This window comes from Homo sapiens, chromosome 7, assembly GCF_000001405.40.
Source record: "Homo sapiens chromosome 7, GRCh38.p14 Primary Assembly".
Classification (NCBI taxonomy): Eukaryota; Metazoa; Chordata; class Mammalia; order Primates; family Hominidae; genus Homo; species Homo sapiens.
Window position 1 is genome coordinate 107883986 of NC_000007.14, and position 19432 is coordinate 107903417.

The 19432-nt window shown below is 40.9% G+C and overlaps 1 protein-coding gene across 4 annotated transcripts in view, besides 5 other annotated features; it reads left to right on the plus strand.

Moving 5' to 3' along the window:
- Positions 6899–6978: an enhancer, noted in NCBI's record as "active region_26497". NCBI's record gives its function as "activates an Ori minimal core promoter by ATAC-STARR-seq in GM12878 lymphoblastoid cells {active_cell/tissue: GM12878}" and the evidence as "EXISTENCE:reporter gene assay evidence [ECO:0000049][PMID:35858748]".
- Positions 6899–7618: a biological region, named in NCBI's record as "H3K27ac hESC enhancer GRCh37_chr7:107531366-107532048".
- Positions 6936–7618: an enhancer, noted in NCBI's record as "H3K27ac hESC enhancer chr7:107531366-107532048 (GRCh37/hg19 assembly coordinates)". NCBI's record gives its function as "activates a minimal SCP1, AML or CMV promoter by ChIP-STARR-seq in naive H9 embryonic stem cells {active_cell/tissue: H9 hESC(naive)}" and the evidence as "EXISTENCE:reporter gene assay evidence [ECO:0000049][PMID:30033119]".
- DLD (dihydrolipoamide dehydrogenase) overlaps positions 7122–19432 on the plus strand; it is a 30092-nt gene continuing 17781 nt past the window's right edge. The window contains exons 1-4 of one of the 4 annotated variants that reach the window (NM_001289752.1): positions 7122–7304; positions 9215–9293; positions 17753–17832; positions 18340–18408. In NM_001289752.1, coding sequence (NP_001276681.1) covers positions 7266–7304; positions 9215–9293; positions 17753–17832; positions 18340–18408 — 267 coding nt within the window. In that variant the 5' untranslated portion in view covers positions 7122–7265. The remainder of the gene's footprint in view (positions 7305–9214; positions 9294–17752; positions 17833–18339; positions 18409–19432) is intronic. The other 3 variants (NM_000108.5, NM_001289751.1, NM_001289750.1) reach the window with 3 other exon arrangements.
- Positions 7129–7368: an enhancer, noted in NCBI's record as "active region_26498". NCBI's record gives its function as "activates an Ori minimal core promoter by ATAC-STARR-seq in GM12878 lymphoblastoid cells {active_cell/tissue: GM12878}" and the evidence as "EXISTENCE:reporter gene assay evidence [ECO:0000049][PMID:35858748]".
- Positions 7429–7538: a silencer, noted in NCBI's record as "silent region_18542". NCBI's record gives its function as "represses an Ori minimal core promoter by ATAC-STARR-seq in GM12878 lymphoblastoid cells {active_cell/tissue: GM12878}" and the evidence as "EXISTENCE:reporter gene assay evidence [ECO:0000049][PMID:35858748]".

Consider the following 19432-nt stretch of genomic DNA (forward strand, 5'->3'; position numbering starts at 1 on the left):
AACACCATGTGAGTGAGAAGCCTATACTCATGCCACTGCGCTCCAGCCTGGACTTGCCCCACGCCCAACACTGTATCAGACATTCCATTTTCAGCTCCTGTTCATGCTCCCTCATAACGTTTTTTTAAAAACATGCTATCCTTATTGAATTCATCTATTCCCATATGTGTCGACATGCCAGCAAATTTCCGAGTCCACGTCTGGAGCTTGTAAGCTCTAGAATTGTGCTCCAATAACTTTTCTCCACTCAGTTGTCCAGCTGGCATCTCAAATTAAAAAAAAAACATAACTCATTATCTTTTTCCAAGGCTGCTCTTTCTCCTCTGTTGCCTATTTCTGCATTGGTTTCACTCTCTACCAGCTGTCTAAGCTAGCAACTCTGGAGCCATCTCAATGTTTCCTTCACTCTCATTCTCACATTCAGAATTTATAGGACTTGGTGATTATCACAGATCTTGTGAGTGTCTCCCCTGTATCCTCTTAGCATTCAGTTCTCCTCTGCATGTTCACTCAAAGCATTTCTACTGCAAGCATCAGAAACTCTTCCTGGGAGATTTCTCTGGCTGCTGATACTCACTCTGTGCACTTATGGGGCAGGTGAGGAGTGTAGAGAGTTAAGTCCCTGGAATCAGTTCTCATTCAATGACTGATGGAAGCTGATGGATATAGATTGGGTAGGGCAACTCTGAAGCATGCTCTATGCTGTCTCCCAGATGCCTCCAGTGAGTCTGAGCCCCAGTTGCCCACAGTGATTGCTGAGACCAGCTCAGTCGGGGAGACCCTAACCTGCTGGCGCTAGAGGAATTAAAGACACACACACAGAAATATAGAAGTGTGAAGTGGAAAATCAGGGGTCTCACAGCCTTCAGAGCTGAGAGCCCCAAACAGAGATTTACCCACGTATTTATTAGCAGCAAGCCAGTCATTAGCATTGTTTCTATAGATGTTAAATTAACTAAAAGTATCCCTTATGGGAAACGAAGGTATGGGCCAAATTAAAGGAATAGGTTGGGCCAGTTAACTGTAGCAGGAGCATGTCCTTAAGTCACAGATCGATATTGTTTGTGGCTTAAGAATGCCTTTAAGTGGTTTTCCGCCCTGGGCGGGCTAGGTGTTCCTTGCCCTCATTCCGGTAAACCCACAACCTTCCAGCATGGGCGTTATGGCCATCATGAACATGTCCCAGTGCTGCAGAGATTTTGTTTATGGCCAGTTTTGGGGCCAGTTTATGACCAGATTTTGGGGGGCTTGTTCCCAACAAGTGATAATCTACTAATTAATGTATCTGAAATAGTTTCCATCCCTTTTCCATCTCCTAGTTACTAGTGCTTCCTTGCATCATTCATCAAATAAACTTCTTACATTCAAATTCTTGTTTCTGGTTATGCTTCTAGAGAATCTAACTAAAGCAGTGGACAGTTAGACATGGGATAAAGAGAGGAGTTGAGAATGGCTACAAAATCTTTCATATAGGCTTTTTAGAGGTGTTATTAACATTAATCATAATGAAAAAAGTATGTATTTTATATTAAGATGTTAGATAACTGAAACTGAGATAACTGTTAGACATATTCAGCAGACAGTTGAAAATATGCAATTGAGACCAGGTGCAGTGGCTTACATCTGTAATCCTACCACATTGGGAGGACAAGGTGAAAGGATTGCTTGAGCTCAGGAGTTCAAGACCAACCTAGGCAACATAGTGCGACCTTGTCTCTACCAAAATAAATTTAAAAATTTGCTGGGTGTGGCGTGTACACTTCTAGTCCCAGCTACATGGGAGGCTGAATCAGGAGGACTACTTGAACCCAGGAGGTTGACGCTGCAGGGAGCTGAGGTCATTCCACTGCACTCCAGATTGGAAAACAGAGTGAGACCATGTCATAAACAAAAACAAAAAAAAGAAGAAGAAAAGAAAAAGAGAGAAAACATGCAATTGGACATCAGGAGAGAAGTAAAGACTGAAGATAAGGGCTAGGTGCAGTGCCTCATGCCTGTAATCCCAGCACTTTGGGAAACGGAGGCAGGAAGATCGCTTGAGGCCAGGAGTTTGAGAGCAGCCTGGACAACAAAACGAGACCCTGTTTCTACAAAACAAAAAAAACAAAAAAAAAACAAATTCTAGAAAGACTGGAGATAAGGATTTAGAAGTTATTAGTGTTATTAGTGTATATAGGCAGGTGCCAAAGCCATGGAAATGGATAAGATGGCCAAAATGCAAATGTACGATGAAAAGACCAGAAAGTTAAGGATAGGTTTTTTCTGAGACAGAGTCTTGCTCTGTTGCCCAGGCCGGAGTGCAGTGGTGCAATCTCGGCTCACTGCAGCCTCTGCCTCCCGGGTTCCAGCAATTCTCCTGTCTCAGCCTCTTAGGTAGCTGGGATTTCAGGCACACGCCACCACGCCCAGCTAATTTTTGTATTTTTAGTAAAGATGGGGTTTTGCCATGTTGGCCAAACTGGTCTCGAACTCCTGACCTCAGGTGATGCACCCACCTCAGCCTCCTAAAGTGCTGGGATTACAGGTGTGAGCCACCGCACCCGGCCAAGGATAGGTTTTTATGAAACATTAACATTTAAGAGGTTAGATGAAGAAGAACCAATGAAGGAGACTGAAAAGGATAGAATCCCCATTTGGCTCTGTCCTTGGATGGAACACTTAATTGTGGGCACTTTGTTGATTATTTAAATTTCTAGTCCATTTGCATTATGAAGGTACATTTTCTTCTAAGACTTACTGAGTCTGTTACACTGGCTCAACAAGGAATTAAGATATAGTTTGATATGAGGAGGAAAGGGCTTGAGAAAGGAACTGATGTTGGTTAAATGCTTACCATGGGCTAGACCTTGTACATATATCATCTACTGAATAATTACAACAACCTGTCGTGTGGGAGCTAGCACCTTGTGTTACCTTTAAAGAAAGTGAAGATTAGAAAAGTTAAGAAATGTTTACAAGTTTCCACATTTATTTATTACATTGAGGAGCAAGAATTCATAAACCTTTTCAACTCCAAAACTCATGCTCTTGTCATTATATTATCAACTGTACCAAAAAACTCGATGAAATGTAGCCTATTGTATTTAATATTTCCTTTTTCTTAAACCAGCAAAAGAAGTGTTTTGAAAAACCATGCTTTTCAAATATTTTGATTGCCTGACTTATTGCATGTATAATGAATAACTCATCTCCATTAACCCACTTAAATTAAGGGGTTTAATGAACCCCTTAAACTGCCAGTTAGAACTTCTGATTCATTTAAGGTAACCACTGTTAAGAATTAAAATAAGTGGGCTGGGTGCGGTGGCTCACACCTGTAATCCCAGCACTTTCGGAGGCCGAGGCGGGTGGATCACGAGGTCAGGAGATGGAGACCATCCTGGCCAACATGGTGAAACCCTGTCTCTACTAAAATACAAAAATTAGCCAGGCGTGGTGGCGGGCACCTGTAATCCCAGCTACTTGGGAGGCTGAGGCAGGTGAATCACTTGAACCTGGGAGGCAGAGGTTGCAGTGAGCTGAGATCGAGCCACTGCACTCCAGCTTGGTGACAGAGCAAGGTTCCGTCAAAAAATAAAATAAAATAAAATAAGTGAGAGACAATATAAATCTTTAAAATATGCTTTGTCTTTGACCTAGCAATTCCACTTCTGGGAATTTACTGCAAGGAAATGATAAAGAATGTGTGCAAAGACTTAGTGATAAGCTAATCACGATATTGAAAAATTGGTAATGGCTTACATATCTAATAATAAAATATAGTTGAATAAATTAGGGTATGTCCCAAAATACTCAGTAGTCATTAGAAGTAGGCTAATATTGAGAGGTGACAGCGTGCTGGCAGCCCTTGCAGCCCTGGCTCCCTCTCGGCGCCCCCTCGGCCTTGGTGCCCACTCTGGCCACGCTTGAGGAGCCCTTCAGCCTGCTGCTGCACTGTGGGAGTCCCTTTCTGGGCTGGCCAAGGCTGGAGCCGGCTCCCTCTGCTTGCGGGGAGGTGTGGAGGGAGAGGCGCGGGTGGGAACTGGGGCTTCGTGCAGCGCTTGCGGGCCAGCTAGAGTTCCGGGTGGGCGTGGGCTTGGTGGGCCCTGCACTCGCAGCGGCTGGCCGGCCCCACTTGCCCCGGGCAGTGAGGGGCTTAGCACCCAGGCCAGCAGCTGCAGAGGGTGCGCCAGGTCCCCCAGCAGTGCTGGCCCACTGGCGCCCAAGGGCTGAGGAGTGCGGGCACACAGCGGGACTGGCGGGCAGCTCCGCCTGCCGCCCCAGCGCAGGATCCACTGGGTGAAGCCAGCTGGGCTCCTGAGTCTAGTGGGGACTTGGAGAACCTTTGTGTCTAGCTAAGGGATTGTGAGTGCACCAATCAGCACTCTGTGTCTTGCTCAAGGCTTGTGAACACACCAATCAGCACCCTGTGTCTAGCTCAGGGTTTGTGGATGCACCAATTGGCACTCTGTATCTAGCTAATGTGGCGGGGACTTGGGGAATCTTTATGTCTAGCTAAGGGATTGTGAATACACCAATCGGCACTCTGTATCTAGCTCAAGGTTTGTAAACACACCAATCAGCACCCTGTGTGTAGCTCAGGGTTTGTGGATGCACCAATCGGCACTCTTTATCTAGCTAATCTGGTGGGGACTTGGAGAATCTTTATGTCTAGCTAAGGGATTGTGAATGCACCAATCGGCACTCTGTGTCTAGCTCAAGGTTTGTAAATGCACCAATTAGCACTCTGTGTCTAGCTAATCTGGTGGGGAATTGGAGAATCTTTACGTCTAGCTAAGGGATTGTGAATGCACCAATCGTCACTCTGTATCTAGCTCAAGGTTTGTAAATGCACCAATCAGCACTCTGTGTCTAGCTCAGAGTTTGAAAATACACCAATCGACACTCTGTATCTAGCTAATCTAGCGGGGACTTGGAGAACTTTTGTGTCTAGCTCAGCCATTGTAAACGCACCAATCAGCACCCTGTCAAAATGGACCAATCAGCTCTCTGTAAAACAGACCAATCAGCTCTCTGTAAAATGGACCAATCAGCAGAATGTGGGTGGGGCCAGATAATAAAAGCAGGCTGCCTGAGCCAGCAGTGGCAACCCGCTTGGGTCCCGTTCCACAGCGTGGAAGCTTTGTTCTTTCACTCTTTGCAATAAATCTTGCTGCTGCTCACTCTTTGGGTCCACACTGCCTTTATGAGCTGTAACACAGCGAAGGTTTGCAGCTTCACTCCTGAAGCCAGTGAGACCACAAACCCACCAGGAGGAATGAACAACTCCAGACGCGCTGCCTTAAGAGCTGTAACGCTCACCGCAAAGGTCTGCAGCTTCACTCCTGATCTAGCGAGACCACGAACCCACCAGAAGGAAGAAAGTCCGAACACATCCAAACGTCAGAAGGAACAAACTCCGGACACGCCGCCTTTAAGAACTGTAACACTCACTGCGAGGGTCCGCAGCTTCATTCTTGAAGTCAGTGAGACCAAGAACCCACCAATTCTGGACACAATATGAATATGGAAAGTTGCTCATGAGATAGTTTTAAGTGAAAAAAATCAAGTTAGCAAAATAAGTGTGGTCCAATTTCTGGTTATATTCCTTAGCTGGAATATAAACACTGCTAGTGTGGGCTGTCCATTGTTGACATCGCTCCCTCCACCTCCCGTGTGTTCGCATTAATTTATATGCGTTGTGGCTTTTGTTCTAGCTGAGAGGAGAAGAGGTATAGTTGGTACAAGAGATGAGGAGGAATGTGGAGAAATATGGTGAGTGCAGTAAGGAATCTATTTCCTGCCTCACTTCTCATACTGGGTTGAGCCCCTAGGCTTTGTGAATGACAGCTGGAAAGGATGGAAGTGTTTCATTTTTTAAAAATAAAAATATGATATTGTAATTTTGGACAAAGGAGTAGGGAACAAAGCCCAAGAAAGTTCAGGAAAGAATTGTGAGATTTTGTGCATATGGAGCAGTAACTCCTAGACCAGATGTCAAAGACTGCCATGAAGCTGGAGAGGAGACAATTCTCCCCATCTGTGTGGTGGAGGCTGCTCAATGTCCCCCAATTTCGCTTCATCTCATCTTGCTTATTAATACAATTTCAGTTAGGCACTCAGCTGACAGGACTATGTTTCACAGATCCCCTTGCAGCTAGGTGTGGCTTTGTAATCAGATGGAATGAGGGGATATGATTGTAGAAACTGGAGCAGCCATCTTGAATGAAAGATGCAAGGCAAGCTCTGATGATGGCAGAGTCACGAGATAAAAGGAGCCTGGGACCCTGTCACAGGACAGAGCTGCCAGCAATACCGTCTCTATAACAAACACTAAATTTAATTATTCATATCTAAATCTGAACATAGGCAGTAATTTCTAACCAGTGTTTAGCCCAGCACAAGGCCTGGGTGGTAGACTTCCAATAAATGTAGAATTAAGTTTATTCACACTATATAGACTTATTGCAAGGCAAGAATGAGACCTTAGACTTTCGTGCTCAATCTTGAAGACAATGTTTTTCAACCCTTTTCAACAGATTCTCTCTCAAAACCTAAAATCTCATCCACCATCCCACTCTCTTTTTACCAGGGAGATGTGTTTCTCAACTAAAGAAATAGAAGAAAGTGTGTTCTCTACGTATTGTCAGTTAGCTAATTAGAGCAGAATGCTGGTGATGCCAAAATCTGTAGCCCCATCCCTTATATGGCATTTGAGAGGAGCGAGTATAAAGCAGTAGATAATACCAAAGGTTTTGGCCTCAGGGCCGCAGTTATCTCTCCTTTGTGAGACCTTGGGGGCACTGTTTAACCTCTCTGGGTCTCATCCAAGAAATGGAAATACTAATAATACTCCATATGGTTGTTGCAAGGATGAAATGAGATGTCTGTAGGAAGTGCCGAGGAATGCCTAGCACAACCAAGAGCTTGTTGAACTTGTCACGCTTTACTGTCGATAATGTGCATTAAGCAAACGCTAGTTTTATTTGTTTATTTCATCTTCTAAGTATAAGAATACATTGTAGCTCGACATTTTGGCACCAGCCCCTAAAGCATTCCCACCACCACCCCCGCTGCGACAAAGCCCTGCGCTCCTTACGACAGCGTACGACGCCGAGCCTGACAGGAACGCCTCGTGCGGTAGAACCGCGCGGGCCAATCGCGCTGCTCCCGGGTGATGACGTAGGCTGCGCCTGTGCATGCGCAGGGAGGGGAGACCTTGGCGGAGCGGCGGAGGCGCCCAGCGGAGGTGAAAGTATTGGCGGAAAGGAAAATACAGCGGAAAAATGCAGAGCTGGAGTCGTGTGTACTGCTCCTTGGCCAAGGTGAGGGCCGAGTAGGTGAGGTCGTGTTGAGCCAGAGGCACGGAAGGTCCCGCTCAGTGGGTCCGGTACGCGGCTTAACCGTGTTGGGCTGGCGGAGGCGGGCGCCTGGGCCGCACCACCCCTGGCCCCGCCTCTGCACTGGCTCAGCCCGGCCCTGGGCTCCGAGGTGGCCGCTCATCCTGCAGCAGGCGAGGGACGGGGCTGGGCCCAGGCTGTGGCGAGTCCTTTCGGGTTGTGTGACGGCCGGCGGTCACACATGCCACACCCCCAAGCCTGGGCCGAGGGCCATCCCGGTCACACATAGGCCTCTACCTTGGAGGAAGTGTAAGCCACCCATGTCCCGTATAGTCTGGCTTTTTATACCATTTGCCTTTTTCTCATCCTAATTCTGATCCCTGAGTGGCCTAAGTTTATGCAGTGGGCAGGTAACCCTGGGGTCACTTCTTGAATGGTTTAGATCCAGTCAGCTCCAACAGATAGCCCTCGGAATTCCCCTAAGGTCTTGTCAGTGTTGGCAGCTTTCAACTGGTGTTCATTGCCATCTCTCACGACTTCCTGGAGGCTTAAATCTTTAATTGCAGCAGGTTATCAGAACAACTCTCCTTTTTAATCTGCTTACCAGATACAGCCAAATTGTGTGTATGTGGCACCGTGGCTGGGTACTATGTTAGTGGAGACCTTAAAAATAATATAGCGATCAAACCCTTTTGTTTCAGAGATGAGGAACCTGAGTTCTCAAAAGTTAATGTAACATTCTGCAAGTCATGCTTTTAGGGAGCGGCGGAGGTGGGACTGAAACTCAGGATTGTCAATCTGCTGCTTTTTGGGTTTGCTGTCCTGACCTCAAATGTTAAGAGTTGCCTTGGAATAGGAAACATCAGTGTAGGTTTTGTCACTGCCGCCCATTTTCCTGCTGTGAGCAGGGGTTATTTGCTTGCTTGCTTTCTGCCTCATTGCCCTTAGGAAATGGTAGCCGTCCACATATAGAGATTAGGGAGATTATGATGCAATTTGTCAAACTGTAGTAGCACCAGAACGTAAGTACATTACTTGGTGCATTTTCCTAAGTTACCTTGTCTAATTTGCTATTCCTAGTTGATGTCTCAGGAACATCTTCATAGATTGTTCTAAGTAAATACGGACTGTATATACACGCTAGCTTAGAGTTAGGAAACAAAAATTACAGGTAAAAAGATTATCATGTATAGATTATTCAAGTATTTAAGTTAGAACTTTCAGAGCTTTATTTATTTATTTATTTATTTATTTATTTTGAGACGGAGTCTCACTCTGACATCCAGGCTAGAGTGCAATGGCACTATCTCAGCTGACTGCAACTTCCGCCTCCCGGGTTCAAGTGATTCTCCTGCCTTGGCCTCCCGAGTAGCTGGGATTACAGGCACCCACCACTACACCCGGCTAATTTTCTTGTATTTTTAGTAGAGTCGGGGCTTCACTATGTTGGCCAGGCTGGTCTCGAACTCCTGACCTCAGGTGATCCGCCCACCTCAGCCTCCCAAAGTGTTGGCATTACAGGCGTGAGCCACCACGGCCGGCTCAGAGCTTTATGACATTAAAATGATCCCTGGCACTAATAATTAGCCATGTTTTCTGAAAATTGAATAAAAATACCATTGAATACGTTTTTAAAATTAAGTTAAATATGAGATGATTTGTTGACTATTGATAATAAAAAGATGGGTGTGGCAAGCTGAGGCTGAAAAATTTAAATGATTAGTTATTGTCAAAGAGGGGATATTGATCTGTAGCTTCTGTGTGGCAATGGAAGAAGATACACTAATAATCCTCGCTTGATACGTTTGCCCAAAATTGTTCTGTTATCATCAACCTTCAGTAGTTCTATGTTTTGAATTCATATCTTACATAATAGGGACATTTTCTTTTTCTAGAGAGGCCATTTCAATCGAATATCTCATGGCCTACAGGGACTTTCTGCAGTGCCTCTGAGAACTTACGCAGATCAGCCGAGTAAGTACTTAAGTAAAACATTTTTTTCATCACATTAGCTGACAGTTCCTTTCTATTTCAATGTAAAAGCAAGTGAATATTGGAATAACTTATGTTAAGTGTCTTATAGTTCATTTGTTCATGTATTTATTCGTTTGAATGTATATTGAGCTAGTGTGTTCCAGGCGGTGAACAAGGTAAAAAAACCCTGCTCTTATGAAACTTGTAATTTGGTGATAAAAGACAAACAATATATAAGTAATGGATAAATATTTTGGGAAGTAACTGAAAATTAAAGCAGGTAATAGGGAGGAAGAGAGATAATTTTAGATACAGTGTCAGGAAAGGCCTTTCTGAGGAGATGATGTCTGGGCAGGGTCCTGAGTGAAGTGGGGGAGTGAGGTTACTTCAGGCAGAGGGAAACAACACTGAGAAAGGCCTGAGGTGGGACTTAGCTTGTGAAGTTTAAGGAGTAATAAGAAGGCTGGTATGACTGGAGCAGAAACCCATGCAATGTAAAGTCGGAGAGGTAGGCAGGAGACAGATCATGGAGTGCCTTGTAAGGCAGGTCTAGTAGTTTGGATTATACTCCAAGTATGATGGGAAACAAAGGTTTTGAGCAGGGCAGCAATTTCATATGTTTACATTTAAAAAGTTAATTTTGTCCGTTGAGTAAGGTTGTATTGGTTATTTTAACACTGTTTAGAATGATGAGATGACTTTCTTGACATCCTGAATGAAAGTCTTCATGGGTTTATCAAAAGCATGTTTTAAAGATTAGCAGGATCTAAAAGGAAGCTATGGGTCATGGAATTTTCTCCTGTGTACTTTTTTTATATTTTTGAAGTTCCCATAAAGGATATGCATTTTATTTTTTTAAGTATTTAAAACAGAAAGTTAATAGGATTATATTGAAGTATTTTGACCTGTCAGTACCAAGGATATTGATTATTTGCAATGTACTGTTTTGACATTTACTGAATTCACCCATATGGATTATAAGTAACATTGGATGTCTTAAAGCTTCAGTTATAGAAATCATTATCTGGGCAAACTGTGACTATCAGTCTCCCTGCATTCTGTGAAGTAATTTAATCCTGTATCCTCAACTGTTATCCAACCATTATCATTTTGGATATTTTATTTCTAGAGGAAGGGTAGGGGGAGGATTCTAGTAACCCATGACTAACAGTGAGTGAGTGATTTATTCTAGCTTTGAACAGGTCAAGAAATCCTTTTAAAAAAATGCTAATATGATGATGAAGGGAAAAGTTGGACCTCTTATACACTTTGTCTCTTGTTAAATAGGAATCTCATTCTTCTCAACTCATATAACAGGAGAAATGTTAGATTTTCATTTCTAAAGGATATTTTTCATGGCTAACTCTATACCTTTGGCATCACTCAGCAGAGATTATTCAGTGCCTTCTATTTGCCAGGCAGACCCTGAGCCAGAACTTAGATTTTAGTGGAATGAGGCTGAGTGTTCCATAATCAGTTTGGTGATCCCTTGACATTGAGTAAATCATAAATCACTTAGTACCCATGTGTGTAAAGTGTGTAAAAGCTTTGAGTGGATGCAGTAACAAGCATTTTACACACATACTTGTATTTTATCTGAGGTACATGCTTACTGTCTTTTCCTCAGGAATGCAAACTTCATCAGGACAGGGACTGTGTGTGACTGTTTTGTTTAGTATCTAAAGTGATACAGTAGGTAATCAGTACATATTTATTGAATGAATGAACACTGGGGCCTGGTCTGTTTTAATTACTGCTCTGTGGCAAAGCATCCAGTATGGTGTCTTGTACAAAGTAAGTAACCAGCTACAACAGCAATAATATTAACTGATGCATTGAGGGCTTCACTCTGTCTCAGGCACAGATTTAATCCTCATGGCCTTTCTACTACCTGTGTGCTGCTGTTCTCCCCATTTTATAGATGGAAGAGTTAGGTTTTTTAACTAGGAAATGACAGAGCTGGGAGAATCCTTTTGACTTCAGAGCCTACACTGTTAATGTTTTATTGAGTTTTCTTCCTTACATGAGTATTGATTGACTCTCCTGAGGAGTTCAAATCTTATTATGATATAGTCTTGGTTACAACATCTGAGAGATGTCTGAATAGCCTTATGAACCAGGTTCATCAGAATTTGCAAAGTTGTGTGTGTTACTGTTGATGTGACGTTTTATTTCATGACAGCACTTAATCAAACTTGTAACACTTAAACTTACAGCACTTATATCACTCACATTCACTACATTCATTCATTCTTTTATTATTTCGACAAATACTAATATCTACTATGTGTTAGTCATTGGGCTAACTACTGGAGTACCGCAGTGAGCAAGACGGACAAGACCCAGCTTTTATAGAGCTTACAATTCAGTTGAGGGAGACAAACATCCAACATATAATTGTGACAGGGGTCCATAGACTTAAGCATAGGGAGTAATGACATCTATATATGGATTGGGAATGGTCACATAATTCTTTCCTAAGGAATTATGTTGATAGCTAAAAAGGTTGAGAGTAACTCTCGTTACAGGTTGGACCTTTTACTGTAATTCTTTTTTTTATTTAGACTGTAAGAAATAGGGCTATGTCATTTATATATACACACACACAGACACAGCATGTGCAGACACACCCCTCCAAGAGCCTAAAGTAGTGTTTGTAATGTGAAATGCCTGCTGTTAGTGTTTATTTCTAGGTAGATGGAACAGATCGTACATAGGTAGACCAGCATAATTCTATGCATGTAGGCTAAGAGTAGTAATTCACCGTTACTGAAGCTTAAACTGCATGGTATTGGTGAGTAAACAGAACGTGGTAGGAGATGAGGCTGGAGAAATAGTTACTGAAGGAATTTGGATGCTGTACTTAGGAACATGGGCTTTATCTAACAAGACACTGGAGAACCAACAGAGCGTAACAACAGAGAGAATAACATCTGAGTTGGGTTTTAGCTTTGCGGTAGCACTGGGTAGGCTAAAATGGAGGATGTGAATGAGGCTAGAGGCTGCTGGACTGAAGTTTGGAGGTGGATCTGAGAAGGGGAGTGACACTGAGTTGCTAGTATGCACCTAGCACCTCCTTAGGATCTTAACATGCGTACTCTCTGATCCTCACAACCCTAGGCTGCAGGTGTCATCCTTACTATTACCCCCATGTTGTATCAAAGCCCAGAGAGATTGAGTAATTTGCCCAAGAACTTAACGGGGTTAGAGTTTGGAACCCAGGTCTGTTTTACTTCAGATCATTTCTTATTTTACTATATTTCTTCTTTAGGGACCAGGAGGTTATGACTAGAAAGTAGAGTATTGATTTCAGAGGCTGAACAGTTTTGGGTGATAACAAGTATAGAGTGTTAACTATGGGAGGAGGTTACTGAAAAAGACTGGATATTAAGGCCATTGACAATGTAAAAACAACTTCCCTTACCCCTCAACAAAATGTCAACAAATAAACCTTATCAAGTAGTTCTTACATTCAGTAAATTTGGTAATTAATGATTATTGCCTTATGACATCTCTTTTCCTGTTCGTTTTTTCTTTTTAAAAATCTGGTTTTGTTTTTGTTTGTTTTTTTTTTTGAGACAAAGTCTCGCTCTTGTCCCCTAGGCTGGAGTGCAGTGGCGTGATCTTGGCTCACTGCAACTCCACCTCCCGGGTTCAAGTGATTCTCCTGCCTCAGCCTCCCGAGTAGCTGGGATTACAGGTGCCTGCCACCAGCCCGGCTAATTTTTGTATTTTTAGTAGAGATGGGGTTTCACCATGTTGGCCATGCTGGTCTCGAACTCCTGACCTCAGGGGATCCACCCACCTCGGCCTCCCAAAGTGTTGGAATTACAGGCATGAGCCACCGCGCCTGGCCAAAAATCTGATTTTACCTTTATTTTGACATGTGCCTCTTTTTTCTCACTGTGTTTTAAGGTTATTGAAGGTACTGATGAGTCATAAATATTTGATTTCATTCTGTAAAGCATATTCTTGTCATTTTAGTTGAAGTTCTTGATTGTCCTGGAGATTATGGGATCATCTGAGTGTTTTGGAAGGCAATAGAACATAATGGTATATAGGAGCACACATTTCAGAATCTAGAGGACCTTGTTTGAATCCTGGCTAGATTACTTACTAGTTGTGTAGCCTTATGCAAATTATTTAGTTGTTTTCAACCTTTTCTTCCTCTGTTAATGGTAGTATTAAACTATGTCATAGAAATGTAATGAGGCTTACATAAGACAGTACACGTGACTGGCTCACTAACTGGCACATTTTAAGCTACCCAAGTGGTAGGTATTATTGTAGACTGACTTTTTTTTTTTTTTTTTTTTTTGAAACTTGGTCTCACTCTATCATGCAAGCTGGGGTGCAATGGTGCGATCTTGGTTCACTGCAACTTCCACCTCCCGGGTTCAGGAGATTCTCATGCCTCAGCCTCCTGAGTAGCTGGGACTACAGGCACGCACCACTATGCCCAGCTAATTTTTGTATTTTTAGTAGAGATAGGGTTTCACCATGTTGGCCTGGCTGGTCTTGAACTCCTGACCTCAAGTGATCCACCCGCATTGGCCTCCCAAAGTGCTGGGATTACACAGACTGACTTCTTGAGATACATCTTGTAATTATATTGATGATTACAATTGATTTGTAACACAATACCTTTATTTCAGTGGTAGCCTGGATAACCAGGTGCCTTATTTTCCTTATAATGATCTAATATGTAACACTTGTAGGAATTTGTAGAGTACTTTTCTTGACTTTTTTCTTTGAGTTAATTTTAATAACATTAATTGCCTTGTTTAAGTCAGTCACCTCTTATTGTACTCCAGTATTTTTAAAGTATCAACCTGATACTTTAAACCTGGTAGGAGCACACATTTCAGAATCTAAAGGACCTTGTTTGAATCACTTCACTGAAACACAGATTGCTATTCACCTGTCATTTGCCACTTTTCCATCAGGTTTGCCTTAAATAAATGTATTTCATTTAACTACTTTTCTGTATCCTTTTTTTTTTTTTTTTTTTTTTTTGAGACAGAGTTTAGCTCTTGTTGCCCAGGCTGGAGTAGTTCAGTGACACGATTTCAGTTCACTGCGACGTCCCCCTCCTGGGTTCAAGCGATTCTCCTGCCTCAGCCTCCCGAGTAGCTGGGGTTACAGGTGCTTGCCACCACGCCTGGCAATATTTTGTATTTTTAGTAGAGACAGGGTTTCACCATGTTAGTCAGGCTGGTCTCAAACTCCTGACCTCAGGTGATCCACCTGCCTCGGCCTCCCAAAGTGCTGGAATTACAGGTGGGAGCCACCACACCTGGCCTGTATCCTGATTTTTTAACTTTTTTTTTGAGACAGAGTCTTGCACTGTCGCCCAGGCTGGAGTGCAGTGGCGTGATCTCGGCTCACTGCAAGCTCTGCCTCCTGGGTTCACGCCATTCTCCTGCCTCAGCCTCCCCAGCAGCTGGGACTACAGGTGCCTGCCACCACGCCCGGCTAATTTTTTTTGTATTTTTAGTAGAGACGGGGTTTGGTCTTGATCTCCTGACCTCGTGATCCGCCTGCCTCGGCCTCCCAAAGTGCTGAGGATTACAGGTGTGAGCCACCACACCCGGCCCTGATTTTTTAACTTTATGTATGGGACTCAACCTGTGAAATTATTCTTGACAAGGAGAGGGTGAGTCAGAATCATGTGTTATCAGCTTTCATTTATATGCATCCTTTGGTACAGGTGAGAGGTAGATGATTTGTTTTTCTGACATTTTATTATGAAAAATTATAAGCATTTAGAAAATTATAAGAATTTTACATTGAACACCCATAGTTTTCTTCCATTAACATTTTCTGTGCTTACAGTACCACATATGTGCTCATTCGTTTATCCATCAGTGCAGACGTGTGTATACTTCCCCTAAATACTGGTTTGTTTTTGAAAGTTTGTTCCTGGCTTATACCCTCCTGTATTCTCAGTTGACAGATCTTTACATAAAGAGTCTGCTTTTTTCTCATTTTTGTGCATCTTAGCACTTTAGTGGTATTGTAATGGAATATTACATCTAGTATGTACAGTGAGAGAGGAGCTCTTGAATTTTTGGTATTTTCTGAAGTTTAAAAAAAAACACCTAAGATTACATAGTGAATAGGGAAGTAAAACCCAAGGTTTTTGGCTATTATCTTTTATCTCTTGTTTACTTCTCCTGACCTTACTAAAACAAGTTCTTTTCCAAACCAAATTTATTTATCATTTTAGTACCATGGACCTACTATAAGAATTGTTACATATCAGTGATTAAAAGTATATGCTCAAAAATACATATACTTAAAATCTAAAATATTTAATTCAGTTTTATTGTCATTAAAAGGGTTTTTGGAGAATTATAGCAGTAATATATGTTATAAATATATATGCTCATGTAAGAGTGAGAAAAGAATATAAAATATGGCAAAAATTGAATTTTATAAAAACTTTCCTAGAAGAAGGATTGGGAGGACCTATAAACAGTTCTCTCTGGGCTGTATGGCAATGTGGATGGGTTGTTTTTTTTTTAATTTTGCTTTAGTGTATTTAAATTTATTCAGTAAACCTAAATTTTTAATCAGAAAAGACATTAAAAATTCAGCAAAGAAACCTGTTTTGTAGCTTGTATTTACATTACTCTGAAATTAAAAATTAGAACCCATTTAAGGGATGTTGTGTAGATCGTCATTTGGTTCAAGATTTGAAAATAAAAATACATTTTATTAGATACTTAATTCTGAACCGAAATCAGTGAACCAAGCAGGGTGGCTAAAAAGCACAGATGGATCAGTAAAAATTGAAGCAATTTTTCATGTATTGAAATGACTATACATATTTTTTCATGTATTATCTCAATTATCATCTGCTATAACCAAAGAGAATCTAGTATTTTCATTTATTCAACAGGAGGGATTCTTAGATTTTGTGGATAATTGGGCTGAGTAACTTAGTTATCCACCAACACAGAGGTTCTGTGATTCTGTTCAGGCCAGCAAAGGTTTTTTGAATGATCCTACTCTAGGGATGTGTGTTTTTGGGGAGAGGGGGTGATGCAAATTAAAATAGTCTTCTTTGTAGGTCAGAATATAGCTACTATGTATAGAATACTTATTATGTATGCTATAGGTACTATGCTAAATTATTTACATACATTATTTTATTCTGTTATCACCCTATGAAGTAGGTTTTTTTTGTGGTCTTTCTTTTGCCAGGTATGGAAACAAAGATGAAGCAGGTTAAATTACTCACCTAAGGTCACATAGGTAGTGATTATAAAGCTTGATTATTGCTCTCTGGAATTTTAGTTTATGATGGTTAAAACTGAGGAATGGAATAGTATTGAATAATGGAAAGACCACCGGAAGTAGAGTCAAAAAGCTTAGTTTGTCTCTGCAACTCACTTGCTGGTTAACCTTAGACAAGTTAATTGACCTCTCTGAACTTCTTGTTTATTCTGTGAAATGTCTTATTTATGACATCTTTATCTTCCTCATAGGAAATTCTGAGACTCAAACATGATAATATATGTGAATATGTGTTATGAATTGCTAAATGCTAGACTAGTTGGGGTTGTCAGGACAGTGGAAGGGGAAGAAAAGGGAGACTGTTTCCTAACTCTTAACAGTCACTGTTACTTTATTTGAAGTTGGATTGAGAAGAATGGGAGTAATTGGACTTACTTGCACATTTGTATTACAATTGTTAAACTCCTAAGGATACTGATCAAAATTAATTTTCAATTTTTTATCTTTATTTGAAAAATGGCCACAATAGTTAATTGAATATTCTGGTTAGCCTATTATCTTAAGGTATGTAAAAATTATCAATATGCAAGTACAAAACATATTTGTTAAATATTACATAGAAGCTGTTTTTTCCCTCATATTTCAGAAGTTAAGGACCTGAAAAAGGTAATAGGTCTTAAATTTATTGGAAATACTAAAGCATTATATAAAATTATCTTATTTAATTCTAACATCAATCATTGAAGGCAGTGTTTTCATCCCCATATTACAGAAAGGTTAAGTCATTGGGTCAAGTTCATACAACTACTCATTGGCCGTGCTGAGATATGAAGCCCAGAATGTCAGATTCCAAAGCTCAGGCTCTTTGCTTCATACATACTTGTCTTCCAGTATCACTAAATTCCGTCAGTTATTAAATCAATAGAATTTAGGAAGGTCAGTGAATACAATGTGAGTGTTACAGAACTCAGTTGTGTTTCTGTATGTTGTAATGAATAGAAAATAATAGAAAATGAAATTTGAGTATTTATGCCATTTTTCAGTAGCATCAAAGAGCATCAAGTAGTAGTAATAAAATAGTGCAGAAACTATGTAGAAAATGCTGATTTGTACTGTAAGAGGTTTAAGTATCGGGTTATTTGTTTGCTCTTCCAAAGAGCTCTTTTTGGTAAATATTAAGCAATTTACTATTTTATATCAATTTGCTTTTATCGTAGTTGATGCTGATGTAACAGTTATAGGTTCTGGTCCTGGAGGATATGTTGCTGCTATTAAAGCTGCCCAGTTAGGCTTCAAGGTAAGGTTTGAACTCAAACTAAGTATTGATTTATTTTAATTTGGGAAGGGTTGATCATATTTATAAAGTACTTTGCAGGCAAAAACATGGTAAATACTTCCTTAACTCTATAAATTACTTGTAAGCCTGAGACTAATAAAGATTAGGTTCATTTGGTTGTAGTATTCTCTTGGAATGGAAAGTGAAATCTATTAGTTTTCTTCTCTTCCCAGTACTTTTCATTTTGGCATCTAATCACACTTTGGAAGATACAGTGATAGAACTAAAAGCATATATTTGGTAATGTTAAGCACACAAAAATATCTTTTAGAATAATTCACTTTTGGGTCAGCCCAAAAGTGTTTATTATTATTCAAATGATAAATTATAAAGGACTATATATTTTAGTCTGTGAAAACATAGCCCGAATAGCTTGTTTTGTAGAAGAATTAAGACATATATTTGGAATTTTAGTGATCTGAAACATTGAGGTTATGTGCAGTTAAATAATGTTTTCTTTGGTTGTAGACAGTCTGCATTGAGAAAAATGAAACACTTGGTGGAACATGCTTGAATGTTGGTTGTATTCCTTCTAAGGTGAGCATGTGTTTTGTACAGCACAGAGATTGTTTTTGGCTAGCAACCAACTAGAAGGATGGATTGAGACTAGATTAGACAAATACACTTGTTAAAAAACAATCCAAGTTGTGGCACATTTCACACAGAGAAAAAAAAGAATGATAAAAAACACACTTCTCTTTTGTAAAACTTAAAGAGTGCTGTCACTAGTCTGCCACACATTCCTGAAATAACTTCCTTGTCTCAGAATGCCTAGCTTTCCATTCAAACAGACTCTGATGTTCTAGTTTTTTCTCTTTATCTTTCCTTCACCAGTGTAACAGATAATAGATAGTAAATTGTTCTTTTAGGTCCTTTTTGTATGTAAACATGACTGCCTTTTTCACCTGCCACCCTGAAGTGTGTACTTATGCCTTTACTTTTAAAGAAAGTAAAAATGTCTTTTTCATTCTTGTTTGTTGAATGTTTTTCACATCATTATTGTTTGTCTTTGATTAATAAGAGAAACTGAATTGGTGTAGTGCCATATACTATTCCATGTAGAGAATGCCATGTCTTTTTTTTAACTTCTTTTTAAATTTTTATTGTAAATTGACAAATTACAATTGTATATATTTATGGCATACAAAGTGGTGTTATGATTTATGACTATAATGTGGAATAATTTAGTCAAGTTAATTAACATATTCATTACCACAGTACTTATCATTTTTGTGATGAGAACATTTGAAAGAGAATATCGGCCGGGCGCGGTGGCTCACGTCTGTAATCCCAGCACTTTGGGAGGCCGAGGCGGGTGGATCACCTGAGGCTGGGAGTTTGGGACCAGCCTGACCAACATGGAGAAACCCCATCTCTACTAAAAATACAAAATTAGCCAGGCGTGGTGATGCATGCCTGTAATCCCAGGGACAATTGCTTGAGCCCGGGAGGCGGAGGTTGCGGTGAGCTGAGATGGCGCCATTGCACTCCAGCTTGGGCAATAAGAACGAAACTCCGTCTCAAAAAATGAAAAGAAAGACTATCATTTCATAAGTGCTTT